Below are 19,704 nucleotides of genomic sequence, written 5' to 3'. Positions count from 1 at the left end.
TGCGGGGGGATGGTTTAGCCTTCCCTGCTTCCTTGCTTTCCCTACCCGTTGGCCCAGGCTTTTTGCCAAAGATTCAGAAACTAAAAAGAAATTTCTTGAAATGAATGACTTGACTTTACTTCATTGTATACATTTAATTTAGCAAAACCTGTTCATTGTATCTCAAGCACTGTGCTAGCTGCTAGGGATTTGAGGATGAGTTATCTTTGTTTCAGGAGGTGGTGCAGAAGAGGGATAGTTGGGGAATAATTTTTTGGCCATGTTTCCATGCAGTCTGGTTTAGACAAATTAGGAACTAATAAAACGTTTTCCTCTCTTCAGAACAAACAGTCCCAATTAGAAGCCATCTCATGGAATTAGGTCTAACAGCAGCAAAATTTGCTAGAAAACGAGGGAATGTGTCCCTTGCAACAAGACTGCTGGCACAGTGCAGTGAAGTTCAGCTGGGAAAGACCACCACTGCACAGGATTTAGTCCAACATTTTAAAAAACTATCAACCCAAGGTCAAGTGGATGAAAAATGGGGGCCCGAACTTGATATTGAAAAAACCAAATTGCTTTATACAGCAGGTTAGTAAAATTAATTATGGTTAATACATGAGTATAATAAAAATCATGTATATGAATGTTACTGTGTATGTATGGTATAAGGTAGTAATAGCAAAGTTGATCATTTCCAGCTGTTGCAGAACATTTGCATCCTGAATAATAAGTTGCTTATTACTGACTTACCTTTATAATTCTGTGCTTTCAAAAGAATTTTGTTGCAATGTATTACAGTAAGAAGTATTTCCGGAGATCATTGGTCACTGAATTTACATGTTTTTTTAACTTTATTATTTTGGGCCAGGTGCTTATGCTTACAATCTGAGCACTTTGGGAGGCCAAGATGGGAGGATTGTTTGAGCTTAGGAGTTTGACACCAGCCTGGGCAACAGAGTGAAATCTCAGCTATACTGAAATTCAAAGAAATTAGGGGGGTGTGGTGGAACATGCCTGTAGTTCCGGCTGCTTGAGGGGCTGAGGCAGGAGAATTGCTTGAGCCTGGGAAGTTGAGGCTACAGTGAGCCCTGATTGTGCTACTGCACTCCAGCCTAGGTGACAGAGTGAAACCCTGCCTCAAAAAAAAAAAAAAAAAAAAAAGTTTAGTATTTTGGCTAGGCATAGTGGCTCATGCCTGCAATCTCAGCACTTTGGGAGGCTAAGACAGTAGGAGCCTCCTATGCTTGAGCATAGGAGTTTGAAACCATCAACATGGTGGTGTCATCACCATGTTGATATTTGTTTCCTAATCCAAGTGCCTCCCTCCATCATTTGCTTTTAAAGGTTCTAAGTTCTGACTTTGTGGTTTTCTGTAGGCCAGTCAACACATGCAATGGAAATGTTGAGTTCTTGTGCCATATCTTTCTGCAAGTCTGTGAAAGCTGAATATGCAGTTGCTAAATCAATTCTGACACTGGCTAAATGGATCCAGGCAGAATGGAAAGAGATTTCAGGACAGCTGAAACAGGTTTACAGAGCTCAGCACCAACAGAACTTCACAGGTCTTTCTACTTTGTCTAAAAACATACTCACTCTAATAGAACTGCCATCTGTTAATACGATGGAAGAAGAGTATCCTCGGATCGAGAGTGAATCTACAGGTAGAGTTGCTTTATTAGCTTTAGAATATTAATTTTAGAAGCTATATTTTTTTCTGTTTTAAAGTTTATAATGTTATGCTGGCTATAATTTTCCATAAAAAGTATATCTGTGGAAGTTGAGTTTATTTTATTGTTGGGAAATAACTAAAACATATTTAGGATCGAATGCCATTTTGGGAGTCACTGAACTCTGCCCCCAGGTATTTGCTTTTATGGACTTAGATGTTTTTGCTGGCAATAAGATCCTGCCCCTCATATCAAAAAATTTCACCTCACAATAGAAGGAGCAACAAAGATTTAAAATAGTTACCTGTGTTCCTATTGATTGGTGGAACACAGAAACTATATAAAGATTCAAGTTTCCCATTCTGGTGCTAGTGCTAGTAACACAAAGATACCTTACAAATAGGGTAGTTGATTCTGTCCATGTTTGAGTGCCTGTTGTGGAAGGCATAATTCCCCTGTTTTTAAAATTTGAGAGAAAATTTGGGAGATGGTTTTCTTTGCTGAAACATGAGAATATACCTTCATTTTGTTGTTCTGAAGCCTAAGAGTTTAATTACTTACATTGGTGTTAATAATTTTGATAGAGTCTTGATATTCATAAAGGATATGTCTTGTGGTCATTATAAATCTTCATCTTGTCAGATGCACTATAGCAGGCAGTGTCTTCACCTTTAACAAGGGAATAAAGATGTTTGCCTCATGAGTCTGTATGAATGAAACAGTATACTCATCACCTATTTATTATTTTTGCCAGAATGATTAAAGTGAATCTGATCATGAGGAAATAGCCAGTCCGATTCATAATGCAAGACATTCTACAGCACAGCTGACACCTGACTGTTTACAATGTTCAGTGTCATGAAAGATATTGATGTCTTCCACAGGAGATAATATAATCTTACTTGGGAAGCTAATGAATTCATTTCAACATACCAACCTTTTAGAGAACATAATTCATATTTGTGCCTTCTCAAGTTATGTACAGTAATATTTTGGAACTTTTGATTGCTTGCAGATAAAAACCTAAAATGCTAATGGAAATGTCGTTAGGAATTTATGAATGTAACATTGTTGAGTTCTTTTATTATAATTATTTTTTTGTCCATTTTGGCAGTGCATATTGGAGTTGGAGAACCTGACTTCATTTTGGGACAGTTGTATCACCTGTCTTCAGTACAGGCACCTGAAGTAGCCAAATCTTGGGCAGCGTTGGCCAGCTGGGCTTATAGGTGGGGCAGAAAGGTGGTTGACAATGCCAGGTATGTTTAAATGTGTAGTTTATTTATGCATTGCATAAATAGATATTTAAATGTCTGCTGATATGGTAAAGTTTGGGTAGCTGAAATACTGATGACTTGTTTATTTTTATAGTCAGGGAGAAGGTGTTCGTCTGCTGCCTAGAGAAAAATCTGAAGTTCAGAATCTACTTCCAGACACTATAACTGAGGAAGAGAAAGAGAGAATATATGGTATTCTTGGACAGGCTGTGTGTCGGCCGGCGGGGATTCAGGCAAGGAAAACATGGTGCTTGGGGCAAGATTGCTACTCCAAATCATTGATTTTGAGAAAATTGATCATATATATTTGATAAAATACTGAATGGGGCTTACCAATTGTTGTTGTAAATAAAAACTTCTGCATTTTAAGATGAAAGTGAGTTATATTTTTCTAAGAAGAATATACTTTTGAGAAAATAAGGCATTTCCTTAGAGTCCTGTTAAAAATAGGTGAGTTGGCCTGGCACGGTGGCTCACACCTGTAATCCCAGCACTTTGGGAGGCTGAGGTGGGTGGATCGCTTGAGGTCAGGAGTTCGAGACCAGCCTGGCCAACATGGCAAAACCCCATCTCTACTAAAAATACAAAAATTAGCAGGGTGTGGTGGTGCATGCCTGTAATGCCAGCTACTCGGGAGGCTGAGGCAGGTGAACCACTTGAATGTTGCAGTGAGATCACACTACTGCACTCCAGTCTGGGTGACAGAGTGAGACTGTCTCAAAAGAAAAAAAAGTTATTAAGTGAAGTTCATTTTAGGTAAATTACATTTATTTTTTAATTACTTTTATCAGAAATTGTAAGTTCTTAATCCTTGGTTGTGAGCTTTTAAAATATGCCAGTGCACGAAACTTACTCCCAGATACTCTGAATGAGACGTGTGTGCGCGTGCGCGTGTGTGTGTGTGTGTATTTAAACTTACTAGGTGATGCTAATGTGCAGCCAGTGTTGAAAATGGACTAGATGATCTGTATAATTCACACTCTCTCCCTTCAGAGTTCCGTCAATTCTAGAATGCCAAAGCAATATATTATTTAGTTGCAGTCCTCAAAGGCATGGATTTTATTTGCCAAGCTAAGCTATATCGATCAGTTCTTGCTGTAAACAGCAGCGTATCTAAGTCTCTCCCTAAGCTGGTGTCTGATACATGCACAGTACTGTGAAGAGAATGAGGTTTAGTATATGTATTCTGTGTACATTCAGCTTCAAACTTTTGAGCAGATTGTGCTTATTTTTTTTGCAGGCATAGGCTGGGTGCGGTGGCTCACACCTGTAATTCCAGCACTTTGAGAAGCCGAGGCAGGCGGATCACCTGAGGTCAGGAGTTTGAGACAAGCCTGGCCAACATGGTGAAACCTTGTCTCTACTAAAAACACAAAAAAACAGCAGGGCGTGGTAGTGGGCACCTGTAATCTCAGCTACTTAGGAGGCTGAGGCATGAGAATTGCTTGAACCTGGGAGGCAGAGAGGTTGCAGTGAGCCATGATTGTGCCATTGCACTCCAGCCTGGGTGACAGAGTGAGACTTTGTCACAAGGAAAAAAAAATTTCTGCAGGTAGAATACTGTATTGTAACTTGGAAGCATTTAAAGTACAACGAAACCCCAGAAAAGTCTAGTCTTTGCTAAATGCTTATATTCTTCTTCACTGGCTTCATATTAGTAAATATATCATAAAGAGAAGCATACTGACATTGACTTACTGTGTATAACACTAAATGTGGGATAATTTTATCTTTTATATATGAGAAGAATTTTTTATGATAGTCAAATTACATACCTTTTTCCCTTTTCAGTTTGTATTTAAAATAGCATTTTGTGCACAATTTTTCTTCAGGATGAAGATATAACACTTCAGATAACTGAGAGTGAAGACAACGAAGAAGATGACATGGTTGATGTTATCTGGCGTCAGTTGATATCAAGCTGCCCATGGCTTTCAGAACTTGATGAAAGTGCAACTGAAGGAGTTATTAAAGTGTGGAGGAAAGTTGTAGATAGAATATTCAGCCTGTACAAACTCTCTTGCAGTGCATACTTTACTTTCCTTAAACTCAACGCTGGTCAAGTATGTAGCACAGTGTTCTAAGAAAATTTATTTTGGAAACTTTTTCTTATTAAACAAAAGTAGTGTTCTGAGTTATTTTCTTATTTATTCCCCTCATCTTTCACTCTTAGATTCCTTTAGATGAGGATGACCCTAGGCTGCATTTAAGTCACAGAGTGGAACAGAGCACTGATGACATGATTGTGATGGCCACATTGCGCCTGCTGCGGTTGCTCGTGAAGCATGCTGGTGAGCTTCGGCAGTATCTGGAGCACGGCTTGGAGACAACACCCACTGCACCATGGAGAGGTGAGACCTGCATAAAATGTTTCAGGAAAAATAGTTTCTCACTAGGATATATAAGATTTCAAAAAGTGGTTTCCTTATGTTTATTATTTGAATGTGTAAAAAGAATAGCCAGATTAACTTCCTAGGACACCCTGCACTGCTTGTTACATCACTAGGACTTTTCCTCCCACCTTTCCAAGAAATGGGAAGCTGAAAGGCAGGAGCTTTTTATATACAAAATGAGTTTTGGAGAGGGTGGTGAAAAATTTTCAAAAGGTTTTATATACCCTCTGTAAAAATTGTCTGTGCCTGCCTTGTTTGTAGGCATTCACAGAAGATACATTTCTCCGTAACATTTTTGAGCTGCCCTGGACTTTGATTACAGCTCTGTATCTAAACCAACCTTAACCAGACTTGCGAATCAAGAACTATTGTGTATGGTTCTTTATTATCACAGGGAGAAATTTGAACTCTTAAAATCCGTACTAATGCCGACACACATCACGTTTTATCTGTTTGATCTACGATGCTGATAGTTTCTTCATAGTTTTAAATAACTTTAAAGTGTCTTTCTCTCTTCTTGTCCTGAAGGAATTATTCCGCAACTTTTCTCACGCTTAAACCACCCTGAAGTGTATGTGCGCCAAAGTATTTGTAACCTTCTCTGCCGTGTGGCTCAAGATTCCCCACATCTCATATTGTATCCTGCAATAGTGGGTACCATATCGCTTAGTAGTGAATCCCAGGCTTCAGGTATGGAATATTCAAATATTGCTACTTTGAGTATAAATGACTGTGCCAATAATTTTAGTGAGGTCAAAGTTTTTAAGCTTTATGTTCCAGAGTTGTTAGAGTTTGTAGGGTTTTTTTTTTTTTTTTTTTTTTTTTTTTTTTTTTTTTGAGATGGAGTCTCACTCTGTCACCCAGGCTGGAGTGCAGTGGCACCATCTCAGCTCACTGCAGTCTCTGCCTCCCAGGTTTAAGCAGTTCTCTGCCTCAGCTTCCCGAGTAGCTGGGATTACATGTGCGTGCCACCACGCCCAGCTAATTTTTGTACTTTCAGTAGAGTCGGGGTTTCACCATCTTGGCCAGGCTGGTCTTGAACTCCTGACCTCGTGATCCACTTGCCTCGGCCTCCCAAAGTGATAGGATTACAGGTATGAGCCACCGTGCCCGGCTGTAGGTTTTTTAATAGTAATAATTAGCATTTATTGAGGGAGTAACTACTATGTATCTGGCACCAGGACATGTGCTTTACACATTATCTGTAGCCTTGACAGTAATCCACCAAGACGTGGAGAAATGGAGTACCTCTGCCAGGCTCACTGAGCTGTTACTGATGGATAAGAATTATACCAATTTTTGGCCAGGAGCAGTGACTCGCACCTGTAATACCAGCACTTTGGGAGGCCGAGGAGGGTGGATCATTTGAGGCCAGGAGTTTGAGACCAGCCTGGACAACATGGTGAAACCCTGTTTCTGTTAAATTAGCTGGGTATGGTAGCACACACCTGTAGTCCCAGCTATTCAGGAGGCTGAGGCACAAGAATCACTTGAACCCAGGAGACAGGTTGCAGTGAGCCGAGATTGTGCCACTGTACTCCAACCTGGGCAACAGAGCTAGACCCTGTTTCCAAAAAAAAAAAAAAAAGGATTATACCAAGTTTTGAACTCTGGCTTGAAGAATACATTATTTGTTAAACACTCATTATCTTTCTCCTTTGTATCTTCCATTAGCTTATAATATTAATAAATATGAAAGCTCAACCTATAAAAAGGCAGAATATCCACAATCTTTAATCAGTTCTATGCCTGGAAGGCAAATGAGTTCAATGAGTGCTCTTGAGTCAAATAGATTATCAGTGTTTTCCCTAACCTAGCATATGCACATGGGAGAAATGTTCAAAATATTCCTTGTTCTCCTATTTCATTACAGGAAATAAATTTTCCACTGCAATTCCAACTTTACTTGGCAATATTCAAGGAGAAGAATTGCTGGTTTCTGAATGTGAGGGAGGAAGTCCTCCTGCATCTCAGGATAGCAATAAGGATGAACCTAAAAGTGGATTAAATGAAGACCAAGCCATGATGCAGGATTGTTACAGCAAAATTGTAGATAAGCTGTCCTCTGCAAACCCCACCATGGTATTACAGGTACAAAGAAACTCACATGTTGTAGAAGAATTTTTTATAGAATAATAAAAATTGCTTTTGCCAATCTGTATTGACAATCACTGGTCAGGGTTCTCCAATTGTATAATGAGCACCAATTGCACACACTTAACTTACAAAGTCCAGTGTTTGAAGAGCTGTGCTGTGCATAGGCTTGTAGATGAGCTATTTGGGTGTGCTGTGTATGCAGGTTCAGATGCTCGTGGCTGAACTGCGCAGGGTCACTGTGCTCTGGGATGAGCTCTGGCTGGGAGTTTTGCTGCAACAACACATGTATGTCCTGAGACGAATTCAGCAGCTTGAAGATGAGGTGAAGAGAGTCCAGAACAACAACACCTTACGCAAGTATGTTTCCATACACTTGTCCTGAGACAGTGAAGCTGCCACTTTGTTTCAAAGTATAAATAACATAAAATTTACTATTTTAATTTTTAAGTGTACAATTCAGTGGCATTAAATACATTCACCATATTGTACAACCATCACCACGGTCCATTTCCAGAACTTATTCATTATATTAAGCAGAAGAAGCTCTGTACTCATTAAAAATTATCTCTTCATTTCCCCCTCACCTCAGTTCCTGGCCACCTCTATTCTACTTGCCATCTCTATTATGAATTTGCCTATTTTAGCTACCTCATAGAAGTAGAAACATAAACTATCCATCTTTTTGTGTTTGGCTTTTTATACTTAGAATAATGGCCCGAAGGTTTATTATGTTGTAACGTGATATAATTTCATTTTTTTATCGCTGAATAATACTGTATGATTATACCGTTTTGTCCATCCGTTTATGGACAGCTGGGTTGCTTCTACATTTTAGCTCTGTGAACAGTGCTGCTGTGAACATTGGTGTATGAGTATCTGTTTGACTCTCTGCTTTCTATTATTTTTTGTGAATTTCATGTATATTTTGTGGATGATCCAGTGGATTTGCTGAATCGTATGGCAATATGGCAATTCTACGTCTGACTTACTGAGGAGCCAACAAACTTTTCCACAGTGGCTGCACCATTTTACAATCCTCCTAGCCATGCATGAGGGTTCCAGTTTCTCCTAATCCTTGGCAACACTTCTTTTCTTTTCTTTTTTTGATAATAGCTGTTGTGATGGATGCGAAGTGGTATCTCACTGTGGTTTTGATTTGCATTTTCCTAATGACTAGTGATGTTGAGCTTCCTTTCATGTGTTTATTGGCCATTTGCCTATCTTTGGAGAAATGTCATTACAAGTCCTTTGCCCATTTTTTAATTGGGTTTTTTGTTTTTTTATTGTTGAATTGTAGGAGTTCTCTATGTATTCTGGGTACTAACCCTTATCAGATACATGATTTGCAAATATTTGCTGCCATTCTGTGGGTTGTCTTTTCATTCTCTTCATAGTGTATAGTATTTTTTGATTTACAAAAGTTTTAATTTTGATGTAGCTCAATTTAATTTGTCTGTGCTTTTGGTGCCATATCCAAGGAATCATTGCCAAGTCTGGGGTCATGAAACCTTTCCCTTATGTTTTCTTCTAAGAGTTTTGTAGTTCTAGCTTTTAAGTTTAGGTCTTTGATCCATTTTGAGTTATTGCTTCATTCTTTTGCATGTTGATATCACATTTTCCTTGTATCATTTAGTTCATTGAAAAGAGGAGCTGCCTCTTTTATGAGCTGCATTTTTTTAAAAAACAAAAAATTCTTGGCTGGACACGGTGACTCATACCTGTAATTCTGGCACTTTGGGAGGCTGAGGCGGGCGGATCACGAGGTCAGGAGATCGAGACCATCCTGGCCAACATGGTGAAACCCCATCTCTACTAAAATACAAAAAATTAGCTGGGCGTGGTGTCGCGCGTGTGTAGTCGCAGCTACTCAGGAGGCTGAGGCAGAGGAATTGCTTGAACCCGGGAGGTGGAGGTTGCAGTGAGCCAAGATTGTACCACTCCACTCCAGTCTGGTGACAGAGCAAAACTCTGTCTCCAAAAAAAAACAAAACCAAAAATTCTTTGTTAGTAATTTACTTTGTGAATATGTTATTGCTTTATTTAGACTTATTCCTTGGTACTGTTTACTTAACAATTGATATATTGAAATTGTTGCATGTTTGTGTAAAACTTTAATGTACACATTTAAGTTTTTGAATAAAAATGTCTTCTTGGTCAGAGAAGAGAAAATTGCAATCATGAGGGAGAAGCACACAGCTTTGATGAAGCCCATCGTATTTGCTTTGGAGCATGTGAGGAGTATCACAGCGGCTCCTGCAGAAACACCTCATGAAAAATGGTTTCAGGATAACTATGGTGATGCCATTGAAAATGCCCTAGAAAAACTGAAGACTCCATTGAACCCTGCAAAGCCTGGGAGCAGCTGGATTCCATTTAAAGAGGTACAGAATAATCCCAAGCATGCTACTGAAATGGCACATCACAGTTCCCATGAGATACGAAATTTCAATAAGTGGACTTCTTACTTGGAATGTAAGAGATTTTATAAGCCTATAGGAGGCAGCCTGTGGCCAGTTGCTTATAAGGAACATAGAAAAAAGTGTTTCTGTTTAAGAATTTGGAAATCAGTGGGCAAAGGGGGATGGACGGCAAAGGTGCCCAATCTTTCATGTATGGAAGGCTCACACCAGTGAACAACAGATGAAGAAATTAGCCAAGGAAGGGGCTGTGACCCTGAGCTAAATATTGGTTGCCTGCTTTATTTACCTCATTAAAGATAAGAAATTTAACTTTGTGCCTATGTAGTTTTTCACAAGGAGAGCATTCAGTATTTCTAACAGATAAAATAGTCGCTTATAACAACATAAAGTTTTACAAGTAGTTCTGGAATCAATTCCACATATGCTGCGTGGGATGATTAGTGTATTCACATATTTGAGAATCCTTATCTTTTATATTTTGGTTTTCTTAATTCTATATTCTCTTAGGTCTTTATCTTTTCTAGCAAATAACACCATTAGTTGGGGGAGCTTATTACTTTGTAGCTCCAGCTTTTCCTTCTCCCTCCCTCTTTTCTCTGTCTCTTACCTTTATTGCTCCTAACTGATTTCCTTACTGAATTTGAGCAGTGAGAAAGCTATTAAAAGATACATGTAGAAACAAAAAGTACAGCCAACTTTAGCAAATGCAAGGTGCTAAATTCAGAGCAAATAGCTAGAAGTACAAGAAAGAAAACTAACATGAAGGATGAAGTTTATTATGTGTTCTTGCCAAAACTCGAGTTTCCGTGTGTGTGTGTGAGAGAAGGATGAAGTTTATTATGTGTTCTTGCCAAAACTCGAGTTTCCGTGTGTGTGTGTGTGTGTGTGTGTGTGTGTGTGTGTGTGTGTGTGTGTAGGTGGGCGGGGGGGGGGGGTGTTGTTTGTTTGTTTTGTTTGTTTTTTTTTGAGATGGAGTCTCTGTTGCCCAGGCTGGAGTGAGTGGCACGATCTTGGCTCACTGCTGCCTCTGCCTCCCGGGTTTAAGTGATTCTCCTGCCTCAGCCTCCCGTGTAGCTGGGATTACAGGCACACACCACCATGCTTGGCTAATTTTTGTACTTTTAGTAGAGACGGAGTTTCACCATGTTGGCCAGGCTGGTCTCGAACTCCTGGCCTCAAGTGATCCACCCTCCTCGGCCTCCCAAAGTGCTGGGATTACAGGTGTGAGCCACTGCTCCCGGCCTGCGTTTCCTTGTGTTCTAAGACCAGTTTCTTGTTTCTTTGTTTCCCTTTCAGTAAATCAAATTAGAAAATCAGAAGAGGATATAGGAGGAAACCCTGTAAACCCTGTTTGTGTGCGCACGTGTGTGTGTGTGTGTGTATAATCATAGAAAATTTTTAAAATGATTTTGTACATTTAAAGAATAATTTTAAAAATTAAGAATACCTGTGTCTCTCTTTTAGATATAGTACAGCTCAAAAAAAAGGAATTACCTAAAGAAATTAAACTTTATAGAAGTCCCACTTCTCTCCCTAATTTTATCTCCCCACCCACAACCAGTTTTCTGAGTTTTAATTAATCACTATCTACTTTAAAAAATAGTTTTTGTTTACAGATGCATTTCTAAATGACACTGTTTAGTTTCCGCCTGTTTTTGAACTTCTACGAATGAGATCATATTGTGTGTACGTCTACTTCTTTTTACTGCCATATTGGATTGGTATTAAGTTTTAAAATAATTGATCAATTTTTGTGTGTGTGTTTGTGTAGCTAAACAATGATCTATTATATGAAAATACCACAATTTATTCTTTTGTCATTGGGCACTTGGGGTGTTTCCAATTGGTTTTTTTCTTTTTATGAACAGAGCTTGCTAAAAATTGCTTTACATTTTTTCACATGGAAGCGGAGTCCAGAATTTGTTAATTTGGGTGCATATTATTGAGTTTGCTGCATGTAGCAACACAACTGTACATACAGTCTGTTCCCTGTGATTATTAGAAAGTATTATAGGGCTTTTCTGCAAACCTCAAGTGGTCAGACCTAAATGGTTACTTCTCTGTTAAAAATGTTCTTACTTGTCTTTGTCTTTTCTTCAGTTTTGTTAAGTCTCTTAGAGATCCACCAAATTTCCTCTACTCCAGTTTGATAAGAGTAGATTGAGCCTCATTTTTTCTTGTAATTTAAGGTTAATAACTTTGCAGGTGGCTTTTTAAAGTTTTGTCGACCTGACAGCCGACTGCTAGCTGTACCTATTGCAAGGACTGGATTGTTTTGGTGTTGTGCATACATAGCTCAACATTGGGGAATTATTAATAGTTTGCTAAAAGCCCCTAATTGGGTGATGATCACAGCAGTGTTTTCCTTCTATCTCCTGTGATTTCACTGCATGTTTGGACAGAGGAAAAGAAAGAGTCTTAACAAAGAATCCTGTAATGCACATCGGCCACCAGCGTTAACCCATCCAGGATGGCCCAGATCCCAGTACTGAGTTAAATGTAGAAATAAGAACAGCAGATAGTTGTGTGGATTTTAAAATTTAGTTTTGTTGTTGTTTTTGAGACAGGGTCTCCCTCTCTCACACAGGCTGGCATGTAGTGGCGTAATCTCGGCTCTCTGCAACCTCTGCCCCCTGGGCTCAGGTGATCCTCTTCTCCTGCCCTAGCTTCCCAAGTATCTGGGACTACAGGCACGAGCCACTGTGCCTGACTAACTTTTGTATTCTTTGTAGAGATGGGGTTTTGCCATGTTGCTCAGGCTGGTCTTGAACTTCTGAACTCAAGTGATCTGCCTACCTCGGCCTCCCAAAGTGCTGGGATTACAGGCATGAGCTGCCGCCGTGACCTAAAATTTACTTTTATGCCATATTGAATGTGGAAGAAAATAAGTGTTCTAATGTAATGTAAATTTGTTTCTCCCATCTTATGAATATAGATAATGCTAAGTTTGCAACAGAGAGCACAGAAACGTGCAAGTTACATCTTGCGTCTTGAAGAAATCAGTCCATGGTTGGCTGCCATGACTAACACTGAAATTGCTCTTCCTGGGGAAGTCTCAGCCAGAGACACTGTCACAATCCATAGTGTGGGCGGAACCATCACAATCTTACCGACTAAAACCAAGCCAAAGAAACTTCTCTTTCTTGGATCAGATGGGAAGAGCTATCCTTATCTTTTCAAAGGTAGGATTTAAGACTTCCTCCATTTTTCAGAAGAGTATTAGTCTTACTAATGCTTTGTGTGAGTGTGGGTGTGTATAGTAGGAGATTATTTCAGGCGAATTTCTGTATGTCATTATTAGCCTGCAGTGCCCTATATCTTATGTGCTTTTGAACGGCAGTGATTGGATGCCGTGCAGAAAGATTTTCCACCCCCACTTTGTGTATGAACTTGTACAAGCAGGACAAGTGAGGTACAGCTAATAATGCTAATATCTACTGCCAATATCTTGTCCCAAAATAGAATTCTTTAATGCTCTCAGTGTGCCTCATGGACTGTCAGTTTTTGACTGCCACTGCTAGTTGAAAAAGAGGAGTGGTATGCTCCCAACCCTGTTTAATCACCTATCCTAGCTATTTTAATTTTGTTTTCATAGGACTGGAGGATTTACATCTGGATGAGAGAATAATGCAGTTCCTATCTATTGTGAATACCATGTTTGCTACAATTAATCGCCAAGAAACACCCCGGTTCCATGCTCGACACTATTCTGTAACACCACTAGGAACAAGATCAGGACTAATCCAGTGGGTAGATGGAGCCACACCCTTATTTGGTCTTTACAAACGATGGCAACAACGGGAAGCTGCCTTACAAGCACAAAAGGTTGATTAAATCATCTACACAGTGTATTAGTCTATTCTCTGTTATTATGTGAAATACTTGTAGACTTACTGGACCATTTTTGCATGTTTATAAGCAGTTAAAGAAGGAAAAGACTTGAGGTCCCTAGGAGAGTATTTTTGAGGTACTTTTTTTTTTTTTTTTTTTTTGAGACACAGTCTTGCTCTGTCGCCCATGCTGGAGTGCAGTGGTGTGGTTTTGGGTCACTGCAACTTCTGCCTCCCAGGTTCAAGCAATTCTGCTACAGGCTCCCGAGTAGCGGGAACTATGGGGGGCGCACAACCACACCTGGGTAATTTTTGTATTTTTAGTAGAGATGGGATTTTGCCATGTTGCTCAGGTTGGTCTCGAACTCCTGGCCTCAGGTGATCCACCCGCCTCAGCCTCCCAAAATGCTGGGATTACAGGCATGAGCCACCGCATCTGGCCTTGAGGTACCTTTTATAAAAATAAAGTTGTTTGCTTTTTTTTGGTTTTGTTTTTTAAAGGGACAGGGTCTTGCTCTGTTGTCCAGGCTAGAGTGCAGTGGTATGATCATAGCTCATTGCAGCCTTGAACTCCTGGGCTCAAGTATTCCTCCCACCTCAGCCTTCTTAAGTGTTGGGATTACAGGCATGAGCCACCACACCCAGCCAAAAATAGTTATATAAGAGGCAAAAGTGATGGCATTGGGTTTATCTTAACTTGAGACAAATTTGGAGAGGGGGAATGTGTGGTTGTTCATCACTCAGTAACTTGATAATTTACATCTTAGTGTTTTTATTGGATTTACCATGCTTTTAAATTAAATTTGTAAATAATCGCTTTAAAACCCAGGTTCTTTTATGTATGTAAATAAGAAGCAACTTTAAATTTGGAATTAATCACCATGGCATCCTATTTTGTATCTATGAATTTTATGCTTTGATTTAGACTAGGAGTTTAATTTAGAATATATTTTAGCCATGTATCTGAGTGCTTAATATATGCCAGGAACAGTACTAAGCTCTTAGGATATTGAGATAAATTTTATACAGTCTTATCTTCAGGATCCCACATCTAGCTAAAGAAAATGCTTTTGATAAGGGTAGGTAGGGGAAAAGAGCATGAGTTTGAAAGGAGGCAAGTTTTAAACCTAGGCACAGGAGACTGCAGAACTGTTATTGAAGGGTAATTTCAAATAGTAATTAGAGAAGGGCTATCTAAATTCTCATGTAATGTGTTTTTGAATTTCTGTTGTTAATTTTATATTAACGATTAAGTTGTGTGTGAAGAATGAAGTATGTGCATAAATTATGAACTATAATTTTAAAACTGAATTCTGTATTATAAAGAAGAAAGTAACTTGAGTGTTTAGTTTTGAATTGAACCTCAAGAAAATTAAACAGTAGACCAATTTTTCAATAAAGTGAATGGGCCTAATTAAAAGGTATATATCATAAGAAAGATCCATAGTCCAGAATAATTAGCTATTTTGTATTAATACATGAAATTTAGTTGAGTAATGAGAGAATGCTACTGAAAAATCATTTTTAAAAATTCTACTTTACATACAAAAGGCACTCTTTTTCCTTATATAAAATTGATCTTTTCTTTTTTAAAAAAATTGTTTTTTCTTAAGGCCCAAGATTCCTACCAAACTCCTCAGAATCCTGGAATTGTACCCCGTCCTAGTGAACTTTATTACAGTAAAATTGGCCCTGCTTTGAAAACAGTTGGGCTTAGCCTGGATGTGTCCCGTCGGGATTGGCCTCTTCATGTAATGAAGGCAGTATTGGAAGAGTTAATGGAGGCCACACCCCCGAATCTCCTTGCCAAAGAGCTCTGGTCATCTTGCACAACACCTGATGAATGGTGGAGAGTTACGCAGGTATGTGCTTTGTTTTAGACTATACTCAGTAGTAGTATTTCTTTTGCCTGCTACCTTCTTGCCTATCTTGTTTGTCCTCCTTCCCTTCCTTCCTCTGTCCCTCCAGACTTGGTAGTTTGAGACGTATATTTGAGTTTAATATTACAGTTATAAAGGCATGAACATGACTGTGTCCGAGGGCAGGATGGGGAAAGAGTTATGGAGGAAATGAAAAGGAGATCCTAAGCAAATTAACACAGGAACAGAAAACTGAATACCGCATGTTCTCACTTATAAGTGGGAGCTAAACATTGAGCACACATGGACACAAAGAAGGGAACAACAGACACTGGGGCCTACTTGAGGGTGGGGGGCAGGAGGAGGGTGAGGTAGGAAAAAATACCTGTTGGATACTATGTTCATTACCTGGGTGACAGAATAATGTGTACATCAAACCCCAGTGACATACAATTTACTCACGTAAAGACCTACACATGTCCCTCTAAACCTAAAAGTTAGAAGGAAAAAAATTTTTTTAAATAAAATCAATATTTAAATTTAAAAAAAGAAAGAGGTCAGGCACAGTGGCTCACATCTGTAATCCCAGCACTTTTGGAAGCTGTGGTGGGTGGATCATCTGAGGTCGGGAGTTTGAGACCAGCCTGCCCAACATTGGTTTGGGCAACACTGAACCCCGTTTCAACCAAAAATACAAACAAAACAAAACAAAAAAAAGAATAAAAAATTTAGAAAGGGACAAACTAGGAAGACTGAAGAAAAGTTTGTTTGTTTGTGTTTTTTTTAATCCAGCATCCTGATAGCTGATTAACTAGGACCAATCAGGTCTACAGTGTTGTATGCCTGCATAACCACATGCAGCAACCTTGAGGAATGCTTTTTATTTGTTGATTTATTTTAAAATAAGGGAGTAGGTTAATGGTGCTTTGTAAATTTTATAGTATCACGTCCATGTTGGAGGGAAATTTCTTAATGGTGTTTCACTTGCTGCCCCCATTTCCTTTCCTTTAGTCTTATGCAAGATCTACTGCAGTCATGTCTATGGTTGGATACATAATTGGCCTTGGAGACAGACATCTGGATAATGTTCTTATAGATATGACGACTGGAGAAGTTGTTCACATAGATTACAATGTTTGCTTTGAAAAAGGTAATATAAAAGTAGACTTTACATTTATGAGGGCCAAATGTTTTTTGGTGAAAGGGCAAAAATATAATGATTTGTCTTTTCAAGGTAAAAGCCTTAGAGTTCCTGAGAAAGTACCTTTTCGAATGACACAAAACATTGAAACAGCACTGGGTGTAACTGGAGTAGAAGGTGTATTTAGGCTTTCATGTGAGCAGGTATGCTGTTTTCTCTTCTCCCTTTTAGTGTATTTGTTAAATGAGCAAAACCTGTGGAATGAAAACCACACTTTAGTGATGAAACTTGTGGCAGACCTTATTTTAAAAACTCTCCTGAAAACAGGTTTTACACATTATGCGGCGTGGCAGAGAGACCCTGCTGACGCTGCTGGAGGCCTTTGTGTACGACCCTCTGGTGGACTGGACAGCAGGAGGCGAGGCTGGGTTTGCTGGTGCTGTCTATGGTGGAGGTGGCCAGCAGGCCGAGAGCAAGCAGAGCAAGAGAGAGATGGAGCGAGAGATCACCCGCAGCCTGTTTTCTTCTAGAGTAGCTGAGATTAAGGTGAAGCCCAGTGACGGAATAAGTCATTGTCTTCTTTTTATTAATAGAGTAAACATGCTCATCAAAATGTTGAGGCAAATTGTTTCTCTAATTTTTTTGGCAAAACTAATGTATAATATTGAAATGGCAGTTAAATATGGCAGTTTGATGTTAACTTTTTATTAGGTAATTCTTCCACACAAACATGCACAGTTACATTCCACACTCCTAAGAGGTGGGTTCATGATTTGAAAAAATTATATTTCTTAATTATTGAAATGTGTTTACCAGTGATGACTGTAAATGTTCTTTAATTGGATAGCTTCCCTTCCCTATCTGGTAGCCAGGGATGCCAGTCTTGTTCTGGGTGACATTGGCAACTATTAATACATGGTATTATGAGATTGAGCCTGTCAGTTTATGCCTGTGTAAACTTGAACGCATTAGTTGTTTTTGTACAGTGGAGGCAACGCATCACCCCTTTCGGGTTTTGTAGAGATTTAAGTAGGATGTGCAAAATGTTCTTCTGACACTGTTGTGTCTCAAAATTGGCCCTGTAAGAGTCTTCTTAATCGTAATATCTTTTTACAGGTGAACTGGTTTAAGAATAGAGATGAGATGCTGGTTGTGCTTCCCAAGTTGGACGGTAGCTTAGATGAATACCTAAGCTTGCAAGAGCAACTGACAGATGTGGAAAAACTGCAGGGCAAACTACTGGAGGAAATAGAGTTTCTAGAAGGAGCTGAAGGGGTGGATCATCCTTCTCATACTCTGCAACACAGGTTTAAAACAGTGTTGAATTCTTCTAAATATGTGCCATTAATTAGAATTTTCATATTCATGTAAACATCAATATGGATTAGAATTATTGTAACAAATCACATAAATGATAAAAGCTGTCTCAGTGACTGCAACTTCAAAGTGTTAGTAAACAAAAATTCACTGAAATTGTCTGCTTTTATTATATTTAACTTAAATGTTTGAATGACTAATTATGGGAGATAGGTGGGTGTAGTGGTTAGAACACAAAACTTGGAATCAGAAAATCTGGGTTTTGGTTTTCTCATTACCATTATGTATCTTGAGTCCTTACTCATTTGTACAATGGCAGCTACTTCATCTACCTCACTAAGTATTAAATAAGATGATTAACTGAAAGAACCTTATACACAGCAGGTGCTCAGTAAAAGGGTAGTTGAATATGAAAGTGTCAAGCATTGTGTGAGGCTCTCAGATTACAAAGATCTGTCAAGCATCAGTCTCTAACCTTCAAGGAACCTAAAACTTGGCAGATGTGGCAGTTTTAATTAAAATGTCATGAGCATGGTTGAGGGAATCACAGGGTCAGGAAAAACAGAGAAGTAAGGGACATTTGAGGAGGGCCCTCAAGGTGAACAAGGAGCGTACCAGACAGTCCATGTGTGAGCACATTCCAGGGTAGGAAAGTATGTGGAAGAAAACAGCAATAAATCTTTTGATTTTGTTTGTGTCCCCCTGATTAGGTATTCTGAGCACACCCAACTACAGACTCAGCAAAGAGCTGTTCAGGAAGCAATCCAGGTGAAGCTGAATGAATTTGAACAATGGATAACACATTATCAGGCTGCATTCAATAATTTAGAAGCAACACAGCTTGCAAGCTTGCTTCAAGAGATAAGCACACAAATGGACCTTGGTATGGGTTGACTTATTTTAGATTCACATGTGAAACTATGAGTTTTATAGTCATGTGTGTTTGTGTGGGGTCCTGGTTTGTGCTTGCTTTTAGTGACAGCTGACTTGACCCTGTTTTACTGTGTTTAATAATGTCTTTTACCAAAAGGTCCTCCAAGTTACGTGCCAGCAACAGCCTTTCTGCAGAATGCTGGTCAGGCCCACTTGATTAGCCAGTGCGAGCAGCTGGAGGGGGAGGTTGGTGCTCTCCTGCAGCAGAGGCGCTCCGTGCTCCGTGGCTGTCTGGAGCAACTGCATCACTATGCAACCGTGGCCCTGCAGTATCCGAAGGCCATATTTCAGAAACATCGAATTGAACAGTGGAAGACCTGGATGGAAGAGCTCATCTGTAACACCACAGTAGAGCGTTGTCAAGAGCTCTATAGGAAGTAAGTTGATAGTGCTTAATTTTCTTTTATTTTTGAGACGGAGTCTTGTTCTGTCACCCAGGCTGGAGTGTGGTGGCATGATCTTGGCTCACTGCAACCTCCGTCTCTGAGGTTCAAGCAATTCCTCTGCCTCAGCCTCCAGAGTAGCTGGGACTACAACACCACCAAGCCCGGCTAATTTTTGTCTTTTTAGTACAGACGGGGTTTCACTATATTGGCCAGGCTGGTCTTGAACTCCTGACCACGTGATCTGCCTGCCTGGGCCTCCCAAATTTCTGGGATTACAGGCGTGAGCCACTGCGCCTGGCCAATTGTATTTCTTATTGGGAGTGGAAGCAAAGTTGTATTCTGCAGCCTTGACCTCCCTGGGCTCAGGTGATCCTCCCACTTCAGCCTCCCAAGTAGCTGGGA

At 39.5% G+C, this 19,704-nt stretch overlaps 1 protein-coding gene across 14 annotated transcripts in view; it reads left to right on the top strand.

Annotated features, from left to right (window-relative positions):
• The window catches only part of SMG1 (SMG1 nonsense mediated mRNA decay associated PI3K related kinase), a 121,549-nt gene that overhangs the window by 71,183 nt on the left and 30,662 nt on the right, over positions 1 to 19,704 (top strand). For 10 of the 14 annotated variants that reach the window (XM_005255184.5, XM_011545769.4, XM_005255182.4 and 7 more), the window contains 18 exons: positions 322 to 570; positions 1,359 to 1,643; positions 2,764 to 2,908; positions 3,021 to 3,159; positions 4,759 to 4,989; positions 5,100 to 5,277; positions 5,848 to 6,009; positions 7,193 to 7,410; positions 7,619 to 7,773; positions 9,575 to 9,797; positions 12,772 to 13,018; positions 13,432 to 13,661; positions 15,280 to 15,528; positions 16,537 to 16,869; positions 16,994 to 17,212; positions 17,783 to 17,973; positions 18,694 to 18,866; positions 19,014 to 19,293. In XM_005255184.5, coding sequence (XP_005255241.1) covers positions 322 to 570; positions 1,359 to 1,643; positions 2,764 to 2,908; positions 3,021 to 3,159; positions 4,759 to 4,989; positions 5,100 to 5,277; positions 5,848 to 6,009; positions 7,193 to 7,410; positions 7,619 to 7,773; positions 9,575 to 9,797; positions 12,772 to 13,018; positions 13,432 to 13,661; positions 15,280 to 15,528; positions 16,537 to 16,869; positions 16,994 to 17,212; positions 17,783 to 17,973; positions 18,694 to 18,866; positions 19,014 to 19,293 — 3,907 coding nt within the window. The remainder of the gene's footprint in view (positions 1 to 321; positions 571 to 1,358; positions 1,644 to 2,763; positions 2,909 to 3,020; positions 3,160 to 4,758; positions 4,990 to 5,099; positions 5,278 to 5,847; positions 6,010 to 7,192; positions 7,411 to 7,618; positions 7,774 to 9,574; positions 9,798 to 12,771; positions 13,019 to 13,431; positions 13,662 to 15,279; positions 15,529 to 16,536; positions 16,870 to 16,993; positions 17,213 to 17,782; positions 17,974 to 18,693; positions 18,867 to 19,013; positions 19,294 to 19,704) is intronic. The other 4 variants (XM_047433796.1, XM_047433793.1, NM_015092.5 and 1 more) reach the window with 1 other exon arrangement.

The sequence above is a fragment of the Homo sapiens genome, chromosome 16, assembly GCF_000001405.40.
Source record: "Homo sapiens chromosome 16, GRCh38.p14 Primary Assembly".
NCBI lineage: Eukaryota > Metazoa > Chordata > Mammalia > Primates > Hominidae > Homo > Homo sapiens.
The sequence above is the reverse complement of the archived record's forward strand: the minus strand, read 5'-3'. Positions and strand labels throughout refer to the sequence as shown.